We start from the raw sequence: 24563 nt of genomic DNA on the forward strand, positions 1-24563 counted from the left end.
CTGAACACCAAGCAGATGGAGGCTCCGTCATGTAAGACAGAAGAACATGTATAGAGTGTGCTGTCTGTTAGACACCCAAGTGGTGATGCTGAGAAGGCTGTTGGTTCTATAAGTGAGGAGTTCAGGAAGGAGGTCGGAAGCTGGAGATGAAAGTGCTGGAGTATTTCAAGCCCACCGTGAGACTGGGCGAGACCACCAAGGCGGTGAGTGTAGATAGAGGTAAGAAAGGGTGGCAGTAGTGAGCCCTAGGACATTCCAAAAATGAGAGGTTAGGGAGAGAAAGAGCCAGCAGGGGAGACTGAGGAATGGGGAACATTAGAAGTAGGAGGAAGAGGAAGAGAGAGTGGTATCCTGGAAGCTAGGATAAATGTTTAGCACGTGTATCGGAAGGAATTTATAACTGTGTCACATGCTGCCAAGGGTTGAGAAATGTGCATTTGGATTTCACAAGATCTAAAACACTGGTGACTCAGTAATCAGAGCAAAGACTTGATGAGTGGGTTTAGGAAGTGATGGGCAGAGAAGAAGGTGGGGACAACAAGTATTGACGACACTTTGTAGGAGTTGGAAGAGTTTTACTGCTTTATTTTTTTTTCCTTTTTTTCCCCCGCTCTGGTTTCTAACATCCCTTGTAGAGGCTTCCCATAGATGATTTGATCCTTGGCTGTCTGTTCTTGCTTAAGTCTAAAAGGTGATGAGAAGCCCTGAGTCTTCATGTTGGGCTCTTGGACTTTGAGTTCAGTGTAGCATTTTCGGTGTGGGTTTTTTGTCGGGTATTCACCCATGTCTTTATCTTTTGGTCTTTTTTCCTGGGATGGAGAGATTTCCTGGAGACTTCCCATTTCTGGCTTGGGGTGTAAAGGCCTGTCTGGCAGTGTTCTGGACCCTAAATTGGGGGAGGAGGGCTGAATGGAGGTATGGAGGCTTTTGTATTCAACATGCAGTACTCCACATGGTCCCTGTGTATTCAGCATAGCAACCTATCCTACAATTGTGATTGCTGTGTCTTTGTCCAGAGACTTAGATTTAATTTCTCAAGAAAATCAACCTGATGAAGTTGGGAAGGACTTTTTCAGAATGAGCATGTAACTGACTGACTGGCAGCATTCATCCAGTGCTCCTTGTTTCTGATATTCCTTGCTTTACCCTCAGTTGGACAAGTGCCTGTTGCCAGTTCCTTGGCCTTCAGGGTTGGTGCTCAGTTTTCTCAGTGAAAGTTATGGTTTTATCATTTTAAGGTCTACGAAACTGAGTAGAGCTGGCTTCCACATTTTGTTGCTGTCATCTCATCTTCTTTCTTCCAGTCCTTATGGGTTTACTTTTTTAAATATGTTTTTACTATAGCTTTAGTGAAACTTCAGGAGAGAACAAAATCAAATGTGTGTACTTCCTGTGCCATCTTAATCAGAGATGCTTCCCAGCAGTACGTATTAATACATATCACAGTGCAAATGGAATGAAGCAATCTGAATGTTAGGTGATGCTATTAAGATTTAGACCATCTATTTAGTAGTCGTTCACTTTCAAACTCTGTCACTTTGAGGATCTTTTACACCTGACAACGCAGTTCTTTCTGCTGTTTGCACAAGCTCTACCTTGTGCTTTTATTGTGGTGTAATTGTTGTGTAGTTATTTGTCGATGTGTCTTTCTACTTCACTATACTGTCAGCTCTTCTAGATGGGGGAGTGTGTATAACTCCAGATTCCCAAAATGTTTTGTAGGACATTTACAAAAGAGATAACAAATACTGTCAGATACATTTCAATTACGCATCCCCAAAATGTAAAAGTTTCTATTTCACTGAAATATACAGTGAAACAAAAATTAACTGCTTACATGTCCTCGTCGTCCTGATTTTAAAGTCGAAATGACATGCTCCCTGCAGTTCCTCAGAGAGATCTCTTACAAAATGTAGTTTCCTGGTAGCTAGAGTAAGATGACAAACCTGACTCTTAAATGAGAGGATGCTTCTGATCTCTGCTACATAAGATGAGTGTCTGCTCAAACAAAGGTCTTTGCTTCTCAGCAGCTTGCAAAGCTAACTTCATCAAAGCTTTTCCTGTGGCTTCTGTATTTTAAATGGGGTAAAGATGCTTTCTTCAAGCCCTTATACTCTGCCAGTGAAAAGAGGGCATGAACCGTAAATATGGGCTGATTTGTACTCATTTTGTGTTTAAGCTTCTGCTGACTCTACTTCTCTTTCCATGTACTTTAACCCAAATTAGTGTTAATGGCTTCCCTCTGGTTACTTGTTTAGTCTTCTATGTTACTATCAGTACAACTGAAACTGTCATTTTTCTTTTTGCTGAGAATGTTTTCAACCTGGTTCATCTGAAACCTCTCAATCTAAGATACTGATTTGGAGAGAGATTAAAAAAAACATTTTCCATTATAGGAATGTGAAATGGGCCGTAATAATAATCACAACAACCAACATTTTCTGAGTGTTTGCTTTGTGCGTGGCACTGCATTTGACTTTTATTATTTAATCTCCTGCAAGAACTCTGTAGGGCAGGTCCTCTTCTTATTAGGTCCATTCTGCAGATGAGGAACTTGAGACTCTCTGGGTTATGCAGATAATAAGTTGTGTGGTCACTGTGCCCCACTGCCTTCCAGTGCCATCAGGTGGCAATGTGACATGACATATTATCTTTGTGTTCTGTATTTTTGAGCTATGATGTCAGCTAGAGTGAAGTTAGTTATTTATGAAAGGACAATCAGAGTGATCTCAAAGAAAGGTCAGTTTATCCAGTAAAATTAAAGGCAGAGTTGATTTTCAGGAATTGCTAACCTCAGCCTGTTTTAGCCTTTCAGCATTCGAGAAAGATGTTTTTCCAAGTCTTTTGTGTACTGGGTTCTTCTAGATAGAGAAAGGATACAACAGTGAATGAAGCATGACCATGTAATTATGGAGGGAAGGGTCTGTCCATATTGTCTCACACGTCTCTGTATATCTACAGAACGTATCTCATATGATCTCTATTTATAGAAATGATGAGGTTTAGCTGATTTGATAGGTTATGCCTAAACCAGAAGCCAGCCTTCCTGACTAGTGCACTTTTTCTTTCCACTGAATCATGATGCTTCTCCATGTCTTTTGTCAACCTAGAGCCTAATAGGAGAATAAAAACATTCGAATTAATGAAATTAACACAAGGTAGAGACCCATAGAGCAACACAAGTTGGAAGCTGAAGTCCAAGGAACAGAGAGCCATGGGTTAGCAATGTGTTGTGATGGGCAGCCCCTCAGATGGTCCCTGGAGATCCCCACCTTCTGAGACTCACGGCCCTGTGATATTCCCTAGCCCTTATATGTGGGCTACACTCACGACTCACACTGAATAGAATAGAACAGAACAGGGGTGATGGGATGTCACTTCCAAAATAAGGTTACAAAGAGAAGGAGGCCCTGTCTCGTATGCCCTTTCTGTCTCACTCTAAGGGAAGCCAACTACCTTGAGAGTTGTCTATGAAGAAGCCCATCTGGCAAGAAACTGAGTCAGACTTCCAGCCAACCAGTAGTGAGATGCTGAGGCCCTCAGCCTGAGGAACTGAATCCTGCCAACAGCCTGTGAGTAAGGCTGGAAACAGATCTTCCTGCAGAGCCTTCAGATGAGACCGTAGCCCCCGCCAACACTGTGATTGCAGTCTTATGGGAGACCTTGAGGCAAAGGCCCCTAGCTGAGCTGCACCTGGATTTGTGACCCACAGAACGTGTGAGATAATCCATGTGTGCTCTGTAAGCCCCTAAGCTTTGGTGTAACTTGCCCTGCAGAAATGAATAACACACTTGGTAATAAACACTGTGAGATTTTCTAGTTTGGGGCATCTTTACCACCAGTTTAGCAGGTCACACAGGAAAGATTAAAGTAGGTGACTGCAGTGGCTGGGATAAGTGTTCATGGCTTATGAAAGGAAGGGGCCATCAAGCACAGCCCTGAGAGACTGCTCCAGTCCTGTCTCATCCAACAGATCCCTGATTTTAAAAAATATCAATGTAAGGCATGTACTAACACTGTTCCATAGCTTAAAATGTTGCATTCAACAAGAGTAATCCTATCATATTGAATTATACAAATAGGTTGGGCACCGTGGCTCATGCCTGCAATCTCAGCACTTTGGAAGCCTGAGGTGGGAGGATCACTTGAGGCCAGGAGTTCAAGACCGGCCTGGGCAACATAGCAAGACCTTTTTCTCTACAAAAAAATTAAAAAAATAGAAATATTATCTGGGCATGGTGGCATGTACCTGTTGTCCCCGCCACATGGAGAGGCTGAGATGAGAAGATTGCTTGAACCCAGGAGTCTGAGGCTGCAGTGAGCTATGATCATACCACTGCACCCTAGCATGGGTGACAGAGTGAGACCCTGTCACTCTGTCTCTCTCTAAAAAAAAGGGATTACACAAATAAAGTGAACTACTTAATCTGGCTATTCAAAATATGTGAAAGATCAACAAATTTGTCTAATAATGTTTTGTTGAAGTGCTTTGTTTTAAATGAGTTCCTTTTAAGGCACATTTAAAATAAGTCCTTTCCCTTCTGTGCAGTTCTTTGAAAGTATAGAGACAGGATTCATTTTATCATGTAAACATTCATACAGATAGATTACTTTGCTCTCTAGCCTGTGGGTAATTCAACATTTGTAGTAAGTTAGAATAAGAAGCATGTACCACATTTCTGGTGCTGACAAAGGCAGCCACGGAGGAGAACACGTTAATAGCAAAGACCAAGTGTCCAAGGATAGACACCTGCCTGCGCACAGTCAAGAGTGGGACTGTTTCTTATGTTGAGTCTATAATGCTTGGTTGTTTTGAATTGCTTTATTCTTTTATTTTTTTAATGTAATGCAGTCATCGATCAAAATCTTAAAATCAAAAGAAAACAGATTTCTTTTTCTGTTTGGACATTTTGAGACATTTTAAATATCTTAGGTTAAATTGACGATTGGACTTCCAAAACAGGCCATTTCATTTTTCATTTTTTAACAGCATGCTTTAACAACAATGACATTGGATCTTAGCGAGCTCATACCGGTGGAGCAAGTTCGTACCGGAGGAGTTCATGATGAGAATAGCTATTGTGAAATTAACTTTTAACTATTGAACGCAAATGTTTAGTCCTGAACCTAGTTTTAATTTAGCACCTAGTTTTAATCTAATTTCTGAACCAATGTGTTTACAGGTAACATACACCTTAAAATTAATCACACCCATTATTCCAAGCCTTTCTGAATTATTTTTCTACTATATAATTACTTATTTTCCCCACATGATAAGCATATGCTATAAACGAAAGTTATCCCACTTGATAAAGTCTCAGAGAAGTTTAGTGTCTTGATCAAAGACACACAGCCATTTGGTATGAAAGCCTGAAAGATTACTATGTTCTACTCTCTATCTAGACATTGGCATTTGATAAAATCGTAGACAAGAATTGTTGTCTATTTTGGTCTGGAGTGATGTCTGTTTGTTTGGTTTTTTTTTTTTGTTTTTTTTTTTTTTTGAGACAGAGTCTGGCTCTGTCACCCAGGCTGGAGTACAGAGGCATGATCTTGGCTCACGTAGATCTTGGCCTAGGTAGATCTAGGCCCTCTACCTCCCGGGTTCAAGTGATTATCCTGCCTTAGCCTCCCGAGTAGCTGGGATTACAGGCATGCACCACCACACCTGGCTAATTTTTGTATTTTTAGTAGAGACAGGATTTCACCATGTTGTCCAGGCTGGTCTCGAATTCTGGGCCTCAGGTGATCCGCCTGCCTTGGCCTCCCAGAGTGCTGGAATTACAGGCGTGAGCCACCACATCCAGCTGGAGTGATTAGTAACACGTGGTCATTTGTAGGTTGTTTAAAGGAAGTGGTAAATATCTCCGTTGTTTTAATCCTGGAAATGTAGCATATTTGACAAATAAGTGAATAATCTTTTAATGTGCAAAAAAGGTCTATAGTTCCTCTCAACACCTTTCTCCTTGAACCCACTCACATAAAAACAGAACAGATGCTTCCTGGTTAAATTGATTTATATATATTTTTGAGAAAGTGATTAAAACTGCATTGTAGACCTGCAGGGGGTGGGTGGGGGTGGGAATTGTAAAGAGTCGCAGACAAGGATGGGTGTTACTCAGCATCTTAAAGCAGCAAGGAGGAAATGAGTGTGAGATATCTGACCTCCAATCTGAAATGTAATCACATTAACACCTTGCTGAATATTAGAGAATAAAGTAATCTGAACTAAACATTTATCACTGAATATTCTTTTAAATTTTGGATTTATCTGAAATCTAGTCTTCTGCTTAATCATTTAAATGCTAATAAACAAGACAGAGTATAATGAAGAAGCCCAGGTAGTTCTGTACCAGGCTCTCTTGTTTCACTCTAATGGTTTATCATTCAGGTAAAGGTTCCATCCCTCAGTAGATGCAGTTGGAATGGATTTTTTGTTTTTCTTTTTTTTGGATACACGGGGAAGCTAAAACACAAATTGAAAAAAAGTCAACTCGTTTAACCTTGGGCTTCATAGCAAGGCTCACTTGAGCAGGAAGGATGTTCTAATAGTTGAATTTATGTGAAAAGTTGGCATGGGGAGGTAACATTAACCAACTACATGTCAGACCCTTTTACTTGTTATTGCCTCTAAGCCCCACAAAAACCCCAAACCAAAACTTGGCTAATATTTTCCATTATTTCCTTGCCCCTGCCCCATAAAGGAACTGAAACTTATAAAAAGTAACTTACTTGAAGTAATGCAGCAGCAAATAAAAATTTAAATTTAAACTTAGTTTAGTTCGATTCCATGTTCTATGTTTGTTCCACATCAGGAAACAGCATCTTGTAAAAATAATATTCCCTTTGGAGGAACTGTCACCTTGATATAATTTCAATACTCAGGTTCTTTCCTCCGAAACAAGGCTGAAATTTTGGACTTGGAACCAAGAAATTTCTGAGGAGTTTTTTCTTTGAATCTTTTTGCCACCGAAATAAATAAATACATAAATAAGTAAGTAGGTAAGTACATAAGTAAATAAGTAAAAAATAAAAAATGCATTCAGTCATTCTTAGCATGATCTAGAACTCTGATCATGGTATTCTCTTCTCTGTGCATTACCAGTTGTCTGCAGACTTTCAAGGCTGGGCTATTCAGCATATTCCCACCCAAATAGCTCCAACTTCAAATCATTATTACTCAAGTAACTGTTAACACTTCTAGTATACTAGTGTAATCCCTGATGTATAGGAAACACCTCACATTTGTTGAATACATTTGGGAATGCTTATTTCCTTGATTTTAGAATTCCATCCATTGAAAATGTACCATTGACCAAATCACAGATTTTAAGGAAGGGAGAAATGGAAGATGCTACTAAACGTCTAGTAACATAGACATTTTGATCTAAGTCCTGATTTCTGAAATGTTAGCATATGCTTTTTAAACTGGGGAGGAAGTATGGCACTTCGATAATTGTAATCTTTCCCAAATTGCTTCTTTTACCTTTATTTCCTGTCTAGAATTTCTATCACTGCATCCATTCATCTGTCAGTATTTAATCTTTCTTTCTTTTTGGCTACAAAAGCATGATTAGATTTTGCCCTGAAAACTGCTCGTTCCCATTTGAATTGTGTTAATTTCTCTCAGGTCAACTAGGGGGAAGTTATATGGAGAAACAGTAACAGTGCTGCTTTCCAGTGAGATTTTCTGTGGATGAGTAAAAAATGAGATTTCATGGGTTAGGACCCTTTGAGAACTTGTTTAGGAGCACATAACATGTATTAAGATATTCATTATTAAGAATATTCTTTCGATCTCATGTATATGACATTGCATGAGATAGAAAGATGAGAAACCTCAGGATATTCACAAGTTTTATGTGGGGAAAACTTGTGGGTATAATAGTATGGTTTAAAATGATGGATAAAGTCAAAGGACAACTGTGTACTTTATGAGCTTTGAATTGATCATGAATGATTTTATTGTGTTTCTTTGCCTTGTTCTGGGGATGAAATCTGACACCAAGTTGACCCCTTGCATTTCCTTTATAGTTTTCTTATCATGTAGAGAATTACTGGATTATTAGCTAGCTGATGAATTCCAAAATCAGAAACCTTTGGATTCACTGTAAGATATTCTTGAAGAGCTAGACTCTGCACAAATTGAAAGAAGATAATTCCATACATAAATTTACTGTTTTTACTTGGGTTTTGTGCCTTTTCTTACATATTATCACAGCAAAATTATTAGCTAATCCTTTTTAATTAATTTTTGAAATATAGTCAAAGGTATTTGGACTGTGCCTTTACTACTTTGAAACATTAAAGTTCACGATATTTTTGCCTTATATGGTCTAATGAATAAGATTTGTCTGAGACTCTTACTCTTAGATATGTATTTCACACCTAATTTTTTTGGAAATTGAGATAGTGGATTATTATTAGGGTGGAAGTATCATATTCTACTTGGTACAATATTTTTTGGTGAATCTGGGCTCCCTTCCCAGCTCCAAATACAAATGCTAAATTACCTTGTTTAGATTTCTTATCCATCCTGTGCTTCGATTTCCCACTTGTCTTTTTAAATTCTTTCTTGGGATTTTGCCAGAGTCAACTAGAAAATGTCTCATGTGAAACTTTGAGAGAAGAGACATTGTAAAATGCCTCTTATCAAAATAAATATATCCAGTTTGTGATTATTCACTTGGTGATTTTTGTCCCGGAAATTTTTAACTCCCCAAGAGCTTCACTGGCTACTTGGCACAAATTCTATCAAGGCAAATTCACCTTGTTTCTACCAAATATCCATGTAGAAAACACAGAATGATTTGTATTAACCTATGCCTAAAGCAAGTAATAAAGCACACCTACTCCAAAATACAATACAAATTTCCCCAGGCAACAAATGCGTAAAGAAAATATTGCTGATTTTTCTATTATCTATCCTGCTTCTTCCTTGTATAACCATGGGTAGTATATATTTGAAGGATGGATTTTTAAGGTAGGATCTGTGCTAATACCACTACCAATATAAAAGATTCATCCTTTGATTATAATATTTTGAGGAATTATAATAGGAAATGCCCCCATCATTTTTATACTAAGTCCATCTGTTTAATGATTAAATTTCACCTTTGTCAAAGGTCCTAGATATACTGGTGAATTTAAGCATTTATTGATATAAAACTGGGATGTAGCATTCACTGGAGTGATTTGCTTATTTTGCTGGTATGAAGCAGATTTTTCAAATTCATTCAGTTCGGCTGTGAAAAACAGACCTCACAGTTTCTCTCTGACCTTTGCCTGGGCCATTTTCATGGGATTTAGTATTTGCGGAGCAAGTGAAAGCTTTAACACTTGACACCTGGCCCAGCGAAATTCCTGGTGCAGGCTTTGCAGTGGGGGCAAGGGGAAACATTGAAGTTAAAGCCCCTGCTCCCTCTGGCTGCTGAGCCGTGAGCCTGCTGCCTGAGATGGTCAAACATCTTTTCACAGGTGGCTTATGGCAATTTATATTCTTCTTTTTTTTCCACAGCTGTTGTGAACTTGGATAATTCTGTGGTTGACCTGGAGACCCTTCAAGCTCTCTATGAGAATGTGAGTAATAGAAGGAATTTTATGTGTGAGTATATAATATGTACACAGTACATGTCTATGTGCACATATAGGCTCTTTGTTTTAAGGTCCTCTAAAGAAATTTGATCCGAGTGTAGTGAATTTGCCTAAGTAGGTGTTTGTTACAATACTTTCTAGGAACATATCAAACAAATGTGTGGTCTCATGGTTTGAAAAATTGTGAATCAAATCATATTGCATATGAGGTCATTCATTATTTTTTTAAATTTAAATAATAGTACTGATGTGGGGGCTAACTTGAGCCAAGCATTGTTCTGTGCACTTCATACACACACACACACACACACACACACACACACACACTCACACACACTTAAAATTTTAAAATATGTAACTGAAAAAGATTGAATACATTCATTCCAGGTGTATGTATTGAACATATTCATGCTGAGTTGATATACACATTGATTACCACAATCAGATTAACACATCCATCACCACCCACACTTATATATAAGATCTCTAGAAGTTATTCATCTTATAACTGAAAGTTTGTACCTTTTGACCAATATCTCCCTATTTTCCTACCTCCCACCCCTGGGCAACCACCGTTATGCTTTCTGTTTCTATGAGTTCAAGTTTTTTAGATTCCTTATTTGTCTTTCTGTGTCTAGCTTATTTCACTTAGCATTATGCCCTCCAGGTTCATCCATGATGTTGCAAATGGCAGGATTGCTTTCTTTTTTATGGGTGAATAATATTCCATGGTGTATATGTACCACATTTTCTTTATCCATTCATCTGTTGATGGACACTGGTTGGTTTTATATCTTGTCTCTTATGAGTAGTGCTGCAGTGAACATGAAAGTACAGATATCTCTTCAACATACTTTTCATTTCCTTTGGATGTATTCCCAGAAGTAGAATTGCTGGATCATATGGTAGTTCTGTCTTTAATATTTTGAGCAACACCTACACTGCTTTCTATTATGGCTGTACCAATTTACATTCCCATCGACAGTGTGCCAGGGTTCCCTTTTCTTCGCATCTTCACCAACACCTGTTATCTCTCTCCTAATAGCCTTGCCAACAGATGTGAAGTCATAGCTCACTGTGGTTTTGATTTGCATTTCTCTGATGAACTGTGATCAAATGCTATTATTATCACCCCTGTTTTACATGAGGAAAGTTAGAGAGGTTAGATGACTTACTCAGGGTCACATAGCTAGTGTTGTGATATAGCTGGGGTTTAGTTCATTCTGCCTGTTTCTCTATACTGCTACAGTTTATTTCACTAGGTGGCAGGACATTTAGCTTTTGTTATGTAGTACTTTTTTTTTTTTTTTTTTTAACAAAGGTGGTAGAGAAAGGGAGTAAGGTATTGAAGGAGAATAACCATAGCACGATATAGTCAGTGCTATTGGGAAGTGTGATATGAGAGATGTCTTTAGCTAGAATGTGACATTAAATAATATTGATTCAAGTAGTAATAAAGCAGGTTGTTTTCAGTGCTTTTGATTATATTTAAGGTAAAGTCTCAGTGTGGTCCTATTTTGGGTCTAATATCTTTGAGTGCTTTTTTTTTTTTTTTTTTTTTTTTACTTTATTTCTGTTCTTGCCTTTGATCTGCCTGGTATTTAAGCCTCTGCTCTTTGGGGCATGGCCTTAGTTGGTCCTTAACTTTTCTGTCTCAAGTCAAATAATTCTTGGCTCTGGGGAGACCCATGTGGTGGGCAGGATGCAGACTCTGTTCCTTGATCACTCCCTTGAGGACTGTGTATTCAACCTGCTCATCCACTCTTGAGTTTGGTTTTTTTTTTTTAACATATGTTATATGGTGGTCTCATCTGTGAGATTGAGACCGATGTAAGACAAAATATGTCTCATGGTGCATTGTACAGAATCTGTGGGCCAAGTGTAGAATTGGTACCCATTAAGCATGGTGAGCATAAGCATTCAGTGAAACTGAGTCAGAAACAAAGATTGAGAGGGAAGCTTTCAGTGATTTATTATACAGTTGTCACTATGCAAAGGGAAAACTGGAAAAAGTAAATCGTGTGTTTAGTATATTCACATTCCAATGAAATTGGTATTTAAAATATAACCATTGGGAGGTACAGAGAGTTTTCATTTCTCTTGAGTCTTTCATACTAACCCTCTTCCAACCAGGAGGGCCATATGGAAGAAAGGAGGAAATACTAGAGGAAAGTAATTTCTTCAGCAGGTCATAATGATTTAAGATGTTGGTGTGTGTGTATCTATCTATCTTGCACATATATATTACATATATACATTTGGTGTATACATGGTGTGTGTGTGTATCTATATGTGTGTATGTGTATCTAGGAATGAATGTCTTATTTACACTTGATGTATTTATGTGTAGAAATATACCCAGAAAATACAGAACATTGAATGTTTATTTTATGATGGTTTAGAATATTTTATTTGGGCTGGGTGTGGTGGCTCATGCCTGTAATCCTAGCACTTTGGGAGGCCAAGGCGGGAGGATCACGAGGTCGGGAGTTCGAGAACAGCCTGGCCAACATGGTGAAACCCCGTCTCTACTAAAAATACAAACATAAGCCAGGCATGGTGGCCCGGGCACGTGTAATCCCAGCTACTCGGGAGGCTAAGGCAGGAGAATTACTTGAATCTGGGAGGCGGAGGTTGCTGTGAGCCGAGATTGCATCACTGCACTCCAGCCTGGTGACAGAGTGAGACTCCATCTCAAAAAAAAAAAAAAAAAAAAAAGAATATTTTATTTGGGAGTGTTTAGCCTTTCAAAGTAAAGTAATTTCACAAAATATAAATTTATGACTCAGGACAAACTGGATAGCTACCCAGAATCTTATCTTACTTCATGAAAGTAGAAAAAGTACTGTGTCTTAGTCTGTTTGGGCTGCTATAATAGAATACCATAGCCTAAATGGCTTATGAAGTGTTATTTCTCCCAGTTTTGGAGACTGAGATTTCCAAGATGAAGGCACTGGCAGATTTGGGATCTGGTGAGGGCCCTCTTCCAGGTTCACAGACTGCGGTGTTCTTGCTGTAACCTCACATGGTAGAAGGGACAAGGGAGCTGCTTGGGGTCTCTTCTACAAGGGCACTGATCTCATTCAAGAGGGCTCTGCTCTCATGGCCTAATTGCTTCCAAAAGGCCCTACCTTGATACCATCATCCTGGGGATAAGGTTTCAACCTATGGAACTGAGGGTGGGGCGTAAACATTCAGCGTATAGTATACTAGCTGGCACTGGTTAAACTTAATTACAATTTTTATTGCTGCTGTTCTCAAACTTTAAGGTTCAGACTTTCATTGTTTCAGGAAAACAATTATTTTGTGAGAGGGTGATTCACAATTATTAGTTTAGGTAGTACCAGGTTAGCCCTCTGCAGTACAGGAACTTGAAGGATCCGTTATGAACAATAACAGGTCATTGTGCGTATTTTATATGCCAATAATACATATATGCAAATTCCTGATTAATATCTATTAAAAAATAAGTCTTGGGAAGGCAAAAATAGTTGTTTTATCCACAGCAATAGCTCCAGAACCTAGAGTTAAGTAGTATTTGGAACAGTTCTTCCCTAAACGTCCTGTATATCAGGGGTCCTCAACCCTCAGGCCAAGGACCAGTACCATTCTGTGGCCTGTTAGGAACTGGGCCACACAGCAGAAGGTGAGCCACTGGTGAGCAAGCATTACTGCCTGAGCTCCACTTCCTGTTGGATCTGTGGTGGCATTAGCTTATCATAGGAGCTAGGAGTACAAACCCTTTTGTGAACTGCGTATGCACGGGATCTAGGTTGCCTGCTCTTTATGAGAACCTAATGCCTGATGATCTGAGGTAGAACAATTTCATCACCAAACCATCCCCATAATGCCAGGTCTGTGGAAGAATTGTCTTCCACAAAACTGGTCCCTGGTGCCAAAAAGGTTGGGGACCGCTGCTGTCTATGTAAGACATTGTTGAAATCTTATAGTACTCCTTTCTTCCTTTCCTGGGAATTTTCCACTTTTTGCTTTATGTTATCTTTATGTATGCATATGTCTTATCTTCTCACTTAACTACAAATTCCTTATTAGTTGAATTTTTTTTTTTTGAGGTGGAGTCTCACTCTGTCACCCAAGCTGGAGTGCAGTGGCGCAGTCTTGGCCCACTGCAACCTCTGCCTCCCAGGTTCAAGTTCTCCTACCCCAGCTTCCAGGGTAGCTGGGATTACAGGCACCCACCGCCACACCGGGCTAATTTTTGTATTTTTAGGAGAGACTGGGTTTTGCCATGTTGGCTAGGCTGGTCTCGAACTCCTGACCTCAGGTGATCCACCCGCCTCGACCTTACAAAGTGCTGGGATTACAGGCGTGAGCCACCACACATGGCCTGAGTTTTTATATTCCATATTGAACAATATGGTTTGTATAAAATATTCATAATAATTACTACTTAAACAATGACCTGAGAATAGTAATGTTTTCCTTTTGGTATTATTTTATAATTGACAGAAATGAAAATGGTTAATGTCATTATTTACATTTCAAATGCTCTGCTTTTTTTAAACATCAGTATAAAAGGAAATCTGGCTTTCTTAAAAATAAGGTAATTTCAGAAATATTTCTGCAGAGACTCAGAAGTGATACCTTTACCATGGATAAAGCTAACCATTGCTATCCCAGCAATAATCTGATCCCGTTATGTGTAATTTTTCAAACAATGGTTTAAATTCAAACGGTGACATTCTATTTTAGGGCAAACTGAGTAGATTTGCTTCCTTCTTGTTGATGTAATTTCAGACGTGATTGCCTCAGGAGCCCCTGGAATTGCTAAGGAAGCTCTTTCCATTTCCCATGTTACCTTAGATCTTTTGAGTGTCCGCTGGACTGAAAAGAAGCTTGAGCTTCCTTTTCTCAGTTTATACTAGATAATGCATACTGCGATGAACCCAAGATGGACCTAAGATTACAGAACTAGTAGTAGTTTATTTTTTGGTGCACAAAGCGGAACAAGTTTTTCCATGTTTTCAGTTGCTAATAGACTGCATTTTTACGCAAGACTAGTAGGAATAAGGTGGCGCGCTGTATGAAGGCACATTTGTGGTGTACCTTGGCTGGAGGCCTTCCTACTTCCTGCAGACTCTCCCCAAACTTTACAGCTATGTAATAGCTAGATTAAAATAGGCCACTATTTCATCTCCATGTGACATGAATATGTGCTTACATGTTCCATCCCTCCTCTATCACCCCAAATCACACAAGGGTATACCAGAAGTTGTAGTTCCAACTGCATGAAACCAATATGGTTGCTATTACTAAGGGGACTGGGATTCTAACTACCTCTTTTCATTCATGCTGTATCAGGTAAGGGAAGGCTAGGAACCCAGTGTAACTATAATAGAAGTTTCATATGATCTCTATGCTATTTAATCCCATTAAATGACTGTTGAATGAATGAACCCTTTGAAACGGGAGCTCAGCATGGTAGAACGTTTAGGCAACATGTGATGCCAGCTTCTTTTCCATGCATTTTCCTAGATTCCCAACTTACAAATATAGGAACATTAAGCCATCTGATTTGTATTTACCATTGTTTCCTCATTTGTCACTACTGTTTTCTCTTTGTCTAAAAAATTCTATGACAATCTTTGTACCCCCCTCTGATGTTCCAATCAAAGAGCTCTTCTCACTTTGTACTAGTTTCTTTCTCCTATCTCTCCTTTGTTATAGCATGCTCAGATGCCCATCAAACCGAAATGAAAACAAAATAAAGAGACATATATAACTTACCTTCTTTTACTCATTGTTTCTTTCATTGAAAACTATTTCTAGAAAGCTAACTAACTGTCATGCAGTTTGCTAAGATCAGTGCTAGGTAGTATATTAGGCACATGCATATTTGGAATCGTTTTTTCTCTTGGATGTTGCTTTTTATCAGTATGAAATATTCTTCTTCAGTTTAGTAATACTCTTTGTCTTGACGTTTTTTTAAACTGATATTTAAATAGCTATTCTATTCTTTTGATACTTACTGTGTGCATGTTTTTTTTTTTTCCAACTCCATCTGTGTACTTTCAACTTCCCTGTGTCTCTGTGTTTGAATTGCATCTCTCATAGACAGCATGCATTTGGGTCTGTGTTTTTTATTCATTGTGATAATCTTTACTTTCTTGGAGCATTTAGATTGTCAACATTTATTGTAATTGTTGTTATAGTTGGATTTAGGTCTGTCATTTTTTGTCCCTCTAATTCTTCTTTCCTACCTTATTATTTACATGGTATTTTTTGCTGTTTTGTTTTAACTTTTATTTCTATTTTTTTTTTTTAGCTTCACCTCTTTGTGTCACATATTTTTCAGTTATGCTAGGAATCACAATGTATATTCCTAACCTTTTATACTCTACTTAGATAGAATTTTCATATAAAATATAGAAACCTTGACTCCATATAGGGCTTTTTGCTGCCTCTCCTGCTCCATTTAACTTATTTTGTTGTGACGTGAGTAGCATCTGTATGTGATTGTATTTTTAAATAATTAAACATATTTAAATATAGTTTTTTTATATTTAGCTACATTTCCCCCATTTCTGAAGCTCTTCCTTTGTTAAGACCAAGTTTCCCTCCAGTATCATTTTATATCGTTTTTCTTTAGCCTAAGGAAGTATCTGTAGTGTATTTTGAAAACACATCTTTTCAGTGATGAATTTTCTTAATTTTCTTTCATCTTAGAATTTTTTTTATCTCACCTTCCTTTTTTTTGAAGGACATTTTAAAATTGGATATAGAAGTCTGGGTTGACAGTTTTTTTCTTTCAGCATAATAAAGATATCCCAATTACCTCCGATCTACCTTGTCTCTGATGATAAGTCTGCCATCATTGTTACTTTGTATTAATACATAAATTGTCATTTTTTTCCCCTTCTACTGCCTTTAGGTTTTTCTTTTTATTGGGTTTTAATCAGTTTTATTGTAATATAAGTAGGCATGGTTTTCTTGTATTCTGATTGAGTTTGATGGACTTCCTGATTATAATTGTGATTTTTCACCACATTTGACAGTTTCCATCTCTCGTCCTTCAACCTGAAACTATTCTTTTGTACTCTGTTCTCCCAGTTTCTCTCCTCTCTGGCTTACTAATGACATACATGTTACATCTTGAGTACTTTTTCACAAGTCCCTGAGATTCTGTTCATTAGATTTTCCATCATTTTTTTCTTTCTGTTCATCATATTGTGTACTTTCACTGATTCTTTCTTTTGCTGTCTTTATTCTTTTATTCAACCTCTCAAATGAAAACATTTTATTTCTAATGCTATAATTTTCCTAGAATTTTCATTAATAGTTCTTTTTTTGAGACTCCTTATCTTTGTTAACATTGATAATTTTTGTTACAAATTGAATAGTTATGTTCAGTTTTTTAAAAGGCACCTACACACATTTAAAAGATAAACCAGAAGCTAGAAAAAGAAATTTGCAATACCTGGGCCCTCAGAAAATCGGGACCCAGAATATTGAAAAATTCTTACACTTATCAAGGGACAAGTCCAAAGAAAAATGAATAAAAGAGATAACAAGGCAACTCAAAAAAAGTAAACTGGTATGTCCAATAAATACAAGAAAAAGTGTGTATTCTCAATAGAAAGCAAGAAAATGGAAATAAGACATCAGTAAGATACTTCTTCATCTCCAGTGAAAAAGTTTGACAGTATCAAATGTTGAAGAGCATTTGAAAAATTAGTAACTATTATATACTATATTAATATAATTTGGTATAATCTCAATGGGAAGCAATTTGCAATATCTAATATAATTAGTCCAGTAATTACACCCTTAGTCATACATTCTAGAGAAACTCTTTCAAAACCAGTTTTCCAACCATCAGACACATTAATGGGTCCAACACTTGGGTCTAGTCAGATTTGCCTGATATCTAAGTATAACTATCAGACAAATCAACCTAGGCCAAAAGATTATGAAAATTAATAATTAGAGTTTCAAGCTACTAAAGTTTAATTTCTTTCACATAAAAATGTTAGCTGACACTTTTCCCATACATTTTTATGCCCTATATGGATATAAATATAGTGAAAATAAAAATAGGGTTATATTACCATTATACAATAATATAGAAAGATAATTTCTATGTAGAGCAAGATATTTGTTTTTGTTATTGTCTCTATGACTAAAAAAAAAAAATCAGAAAATTAAGTAAAAAGAAGTATATTTCCCTTCTTATTCCAGGAAAGTAACTGAGCCTTTTGTACCCTGAGGCTGCGCTCTCCTGCCTCAGATGATCTTTGGGGACCTTGGTTTTTCTTGATCACAAAGAGAATTTGCTTTGTCTTCGTCAAGTGAGAGAGACTGATTATAATAGTTAAAGTAGCTGACGTGCTCACATCTGTATTTCTTCATACAGCTTTGAGTTATGGTCTAGTGTCCTGTCATTTCATCCTGCAGGACTCCCTTGAGCATTTCTTGTGGTACAGATCGAGTGATAATAAACTTTTCCAGCTTTAGTATATCTGGAATGTCATAATTTTTCCCTCATAGTCAAAGGATAGTTTTACTGGATATAGAATTATTGGTTGAAACTTTATTTTGTTTCAGTACTTTGAATATATCAGACCACTGCCTTCTGGTCTCCCAAATTTGTGACAAGAAATCTGCAGAGATTCTTATTGAGCATTTCTTGTGTGTGACCAGTTACTTCTTTCTTGCTAGTGTTAATATTCTCTCTTTGACTTTGTCTTTCAAAAGTTTGTTTATAATGTATCTCGATGTAGGGCTCTTTGGATTAACATCATTTTGAGTTCATTAAGCTTCTTGGATGTTTATGTTCACATCTTTCATCAAATTGGACAAGTTTTCAGCCATTATTTTTTAAAAATATCCTCTCTGTTCCTTTCTCTCTTTTTCTTCTAGGACTTCCATAATGCATATTTGGTCTGCTTGGTGGTGTTTCACGGCTTCCTGAGGCTGTCTTCACTTTTCTTCCATTTTTCTTTTTCTGTTCTTTAGAGTTGATACTTTCTGATCCATCTTCAAGTTCATGGATTCATTCTTTTGCTTCCTCAAATCCGTCTTTAAATTCTCTTTGTGCATTATTTTATGTTAGTTATTGTATTTTTCAGTTCTTTTCAGTTATTGTATTTTTCACCTTCTTTTTGATTTATTTTCAGGTTTTCTATCTCTTTATTAATATTGCCATTTTGTCTGTACATTGTTTTCTTGGCTTGCTTTCTTTAGTTCTTTGAGCATATTTAAAACAAAATTTAAAAAGCCTTTGTCTTTACTCTGCCATCAGGTCTTTTTCAGGGATAATTTGTATTGATTTATCTTTATCCTTTGAATGGTGCATACTTTTGTTTCTTTGTATGTCTTGTGATTTTCTTTCTTTTTTATTTTGAAAAGTGGACATTTGAATTTAACAATGTAATTCTGGAAATCACATTCTCCCTCTTCCCAAGGGTTTGCTGGGTTTTTATTAATTGTTTTTATTTGTTGTTTTTTGATTTTTGTAGTTTATCTTTGTGCCAAGGATAAGCCTGAAGTGTAAACTTAAGGTCTTCTCAGGGCATTTTTCAGCCTGCACCTTTCCCTGGGCACAAGTGGTCACTTTCTAATTTTCCCGATATATATACAGTTGCTTTTAAATGTCCTAATCTTTAATGTCTGGCTCCCAAAAGGTGGGAAAGATTAAAAGGAATCATGGAAAAAAGAGGGCTCTGGCCGTTTAATCCCCCAGCTGTCACTTCAACCAGATAAGGAGGGGCAACTACAGTGGGGGGACAGAGGCTCAACAATGGCCTCCTGCTTCTTTGTTTGCACCTGAGTGATCAGAAGCAGTAATCAGGGATCAGAGCACAGATCCTTTATATTTGGAAGGTGAGGACATTGGGAGGTTGGCTCACTTTGGCTCCTGCAGGCTGTGTGCAGGTTGCTCCAGAAGCGCGTGCACAGCTGCCTGCCACAGGGCCGGGAGTGGGGGATAGGTAGCTGCTGATCTGCTAAGAGCTGACATTGACTAAAATTAACTGTAATTTAAGCTCCAAGCCTTTCTTTGGAAGTTGTAAGACCAACAGTAGACCCCAAAGTTTCCAACAGATTCTGCTAGTACAATTGTCTAGATGGGGAAATAGATCCCTGGCACTTTCTACTCTGCTATCTTCCCAGAATCCTTTCTGGGGTTTCTAATTTTTTCATTCATTCTTAATATATTTTTGTTCATATCATGGAGCATAGTTATAATAGCTGCTTTTCTAAAGACGTTGTCTGATAATATGAACATCTGGGTCATCTTGAGGTTGGCATCTGTTGATTGTATTTTCCTTTGAGATTTAGTCAGATTTTCCTCTATTTTGGCACATTGGATAATTTTGTATCTTGGACAACATAGTCTGTGTAACTGTATTTAATCATTTCTTTTCATTTAACATTTAAATGAGCTTATTACTCTCTGTAATACAAGATATATTCAATCTAGGTTTTGCTGAGAAAGAAACTCATTCATTTTTGAAAGCATGCGTTTCCCAGTATTGTGTTTTTCAAACTGGGTTCAGTGAAACACTATTGTTTTGTAGTCTATAGTAAAAAACATGTTGCATAATCAAACAGGTTAAAAATAAGTTAATCAAATAAGTTAAAGTTAAAAATAAAACTGTGCAGAGCCATAATGTATGCCTAATAAAGTGGTAGTTTCCAAGTGGAGGACATTTTAAACTATATTCTTCCTTCAATTAAATTATTAATCTAGTGAAAACAATAGTATTACGTGGTTTGGAAAATGCTACTATAGTGCAGTCTAAATAAATCCAGACTTGCAGAAACGTAGCTATTGTATAATGCCAAGGAATGTGTCTATTGTGTATTTTTAATTTAACATAGTTACTATTTTACTTATTACCAAATAATTACATGTATATCCCTTTTATGTATCTCTTCCACTTATACTTCTTGTCATAAGAATTATTACATGAAAAGGTCATCTTAGTAGTGTAGCATCATTATTGTAATAGGATATAAACCATTATAAGGTCAGCATAATTGTTTTAAAGTCATTAGTCATACAGTTTTCTAGACTAGATATGCTTGTAAGTTTTTTTTTTTTTTTTGAGGTGAAATCTTGCTCTGTCACCCAGGCTGGAGTGCGGTGACGTGATCTCGGCTCACTGCAACCTCCACCTCCTGGGTTCAAGTGATTCTCCTGCCTCAACCTCCTGAGTAGCTGGGATTACAGGCATGTACCACCATGCCCAGCTAATTTTTGTATTTTTAGTAGAGATGGTGTTTCACTATGTTGGCCAGGCTGGTCTCGGACTCCTGACCTCATGGTCCACCCACCTCGGCTTCCCAAAGTGCTGGGATTACAGGCGTGAGCCACCGCACCCGGCTGCTTATAGTTTTTATTTTCTTTTTTTAAAATCCATTTTAATTTTAGATTCAAGGGATACATGTGCAGGTTTGTTACAAGGGCATATTGAGTGGGGCTGAGGTTTGGGCTTCCGTTAATCCCATAACCCAGAAGCTGAACATAGTATCCAACAGGACATGTTTCAGCCCTTGTTCCTCTCCCTCCCTCCTTTTGGAGTCCCCAGTTTCTAGTGTTCCCATCTTTATGTGAACCCAAAATTTAACTCCTACTTGTAAGTGAGAACATGTGATATGTTTCTGCATATGGAATAACAGTCTCTAGCTGCATCCATGTTTCTGCAAAGAACATGACTTCATTCTTTTCATGGTGTTGTAGCATTCCGTGGGGTATATGTACCACATTTTCTTTATCCAGTCCACTGTTGATGGACATCTAGGTTTATTCCACGTCTTTGCTATTGCAAATAGTGCTGTGATGAACATACGAGTGCCTGTGTCTTTTTGGTAGAATGATTTATTTTCCTTTGAATATATACCCACTAATGGGATTGCTGGATTGAATGGTATTTCTATTTTTAGTTCATTGGGAAATCTCCAAACTGCTGTCCACAGTGGCTGGACTAGTTTGCATTCCCACCAACAGTGTATAAGCATTTCCTTGTCTTCACAACCTCTGTAACACCTGTTATTTTTTGACATTTTAGTAATAGCCATTCTCACTGGTGTGAGATGGCATCTCATTGTGGTTTTGATTTGTATCTCTCTGGTGTTTAGTCATGCTGAGTACTTTTTCTTAAGTTTAGCTGCTTGTTATCATCTTTTGAGAAATGTCTTTTATTGTCCTTTGCCACTTTTTAATGAGGTTGTTTCCTTTTTTCTTGTTGATTCATTTAAATCCCTTATAGATTCTGGATATTAGTCCTTTGTCAGATGCATAGTTTGCAAATATTTTCTCCCATTCTGTTGGTTATCTGTTTATTCTTGTCAAGAGTTTCTTCTGTTGTGCAGAAGCTCTCTTTGGTTTAATTGTGCCATTTCTCTATTTTTGGTTTTGTTGCATTTGTTTTTAGGGTTTCATCATAAATGTTTGCCTAGACCAATGTCTAAAAGAGTATTTCCTAGCTTTTCTCCCAGAGTTTTTATAGTTTGAGGTCTTACTTTTAAGTTTTTAATGCATCTTGAGTTAATTTTTATGTGTGGTAAGAGGTAGTGGTCCGGTTTCATTCTTCTGCATATGGTTAGCCAGTTTTCACAACACCATTGATTGAACAGGGTGTCCTTTCTCCATTGTTTATTTCTGCTAACTTTGTCAAAGATGAGTTGGTTGTAGGTATGCAACTTTATTTCAAGGATCTCTGTTCTGATCCATTGATCTGTATGTCTATTTTTGTACCATGCTGTTTTGGTAACTGTAGCCTTGAAGTATAGTTAGAAGCCCAGTAATATGATGCCTCTGGCTTTGTTCTTTTTACTTAGGATTGCCTTGGCTATTGGGGCTCTTTTTTGTTTCATTTGAATTTTAGAATAGTTTTTCCTAATTCTGTGAAAAATGATGTTTGTAATTTGATAGGAATAGCATTGAATCAGTAGATTGCTTCAGGCAGTATGGATATTTTAATGATATTCTTCCAACCCATGAGCATGGAATGCTTTTCCATTTGTTTGTGTCGTCTATGATTTCTTTCAGCAGTGTTTTGTAGTTCTCCTTATAGAGATCATTCACCTTCTTGGTATTCCTAGGTATTTAATTAATTAATTAATTATTGTGGCTATTAGGTACATTATAGTTTTTAAAATATTCTGTGTTAAAGAGAAAAAAAGTCAATGTGAGGGAAAGGATGTTGCCCAGGATGGTGGGTACAATTTTAAATATGGTTGTTATTTGAAAGATGACATTTGAACTAGGAATTGCGGGAGATGAGGAAGAGAAGCCATGTGTAAATCTAAGAGACCATATCATGCCTGAAGTGTGAGCAAGTCTGATATATTCAGGGAACAGCTGGAAGCCCACACAGCTGAAATGGCACAAGGGAGGGGAACATTGTAGAAGTTACTTAGAGATAAATTGGTGGGGACTAGCCCCTCTAGGGACTTGTAGAACTTTGTAAGACTTGAACTTTTTCTCTGAGTAAAATGGGAAGTTAACACACAGTTTTGGCTAGAGGATTCATGTTTCAAAGCTTGTCCAACTCGCTTTATTTTGTTGTTGTCATTCTGTTTTGTTTTGTTTCAGGCTTTTAGCAGCCTGAAGCCATGGTGTTTAGTTTCGTGTCTAGTGATAAGCAGAAAAGAGGGACGAGGACGGGGCTTTACTGGCCCAACCAGAAACAGAAACTAAGAACCCACGACTGTATTCTGTCCCTTGGACACCCCTGTAAGAAGTTCTGACAACTAGGAATAGACTGTGAGAAGCAAGGTGGAGTGTCAGAGACCTTTCAGAGTTAAGAGATGATAGTGGCTTGGACCTCAGTTAAGAGATGATAGTGGCTTGGACCTCAGTGTACACAGTGGAGCTGCTGAGAAGTGGTCAGATTCTGGAACTATTTTGAAGAATATGCCAGTAGAATTTGCCAGCGGGCTGGGTATGGACTGTGAGAGAAAACAAGAAATTGAGAGTGATCCCACAATTTTTGGCCTGGGCAATAGGAAGGGATTGCCATTAGCTGATAAGTGGAAGCAGCTTGGTAGAAAATGGGGCAATGAGAATTCTGTGGTTATGTTAGGTTTGAGTGGTCTGTTCCTTCATAATTGATATGCAGACACAGGGGTCTAGTAGTCTCAAGGCAGAAGGTGGAGAGTGAGGGTATGAGTGTTAGAAAGTCTAACAGTATGGGTTCAATTGGGACATAAACCACAGACTAATATAAGCAGAAGAGTTTATTATAATGAATGATTAACCTATGATGGAAGAGTACAAGAATATAGTGATAACTTTAACAGCACCCTAGGGATGAGTAAGCATACCCAAGTTCGGATAAGCTTGGAAGGGGGTCCCCTCTCTAAGACTGGGGTGCAGATTTCATTGGAGAAGGTGTGTTTGCAGCCCACTGGTTTGCCTGGGCCATAGCTGGTCACGTCTCTGGGCAAGCAAGAAAACACACTTCTGGGGGCAGGTGAACTCTAGCTAGTGGGCAGGCATGCAGGAGTTAGGATGCTACAGTGAACGTGAAGCCCAGAGTGTACAGTATCTATGTAGGGAGGGCCCAGGAAACAAACCTCAGGGCACAGGCAAGCCTTGGCTGGTGCAGGTGCACAGTGCGTGGTGTCTGCATTGGAGGCAAACTGGTCACTGAGTCTAGGTCAGGACTGCAAGGTTGCCAAAGGGCTCTGCACTCCGGGTATGCTGCTGGGGTGTGGCAGAGCACCCCCAGATGTCATTATACACCCACACCGCTGACCAATTGTGCTGCAGAAAAGGCAAACTGCATACCAGAGTCAGGAAGAGGACCCCCTTCCTCTAGCAGTGCCCCTCCATCACCTCCTACTGGCAAAGCATAACCTCATATTCACTGTAAAGGGGGACCGGGAGCTGCTGAGTCCAGTCCGTTATCTCGGATTCAGTTCTAGAAGGCAAACTGAGGGATGAGAGGCAGTAACTGGCACAGATGGTAGGGAGGGTTGAGGTTTTAGGAGGTATGGTC

At 38.1% G+C, this 24563-nt stretch overlaps 1 protein-coding gene across 6 annotated transcripts in view; it reads left to right on the forward strand.

Annotated features, from left to right (window-relative positions):
- FMN2 (formin 2) overlaps positions 1-24563 on the forward strand; it is a 383305-nt gene that overhangs the window by 193422 nt on the left and 165320 nt on the right. For 5 of the 6 annotated variants that reach the window (NM_001305424.2, NM_020066.5, NM_001348094.2 and 2 more), the window contains one exon: positions 9518-9579. In NM_001305424.2, coding sequence (NP_001292353.1) covers positions 9518-9579 — 62 coding nt within the window. Of the gene's footprint in view, positions 1-9517; positions 9605-24563 lie in introns of all 6 variants that reach the window. The other variant, XM_017001837.2, reaches the window with a different exon arrangement.

This window comes from Homo sapiens, chromosome 1 (genome assembly GCF_000001405.40).
Source record: "Homo sapiens chromosome 1, GRCh38.p14 Primary Assembly".
Lineage (NCBI taxonomy): Eukaryota > Metazoa > Chordata > Mammalia > Primates > Hominidae > Homo > Homo sapiens.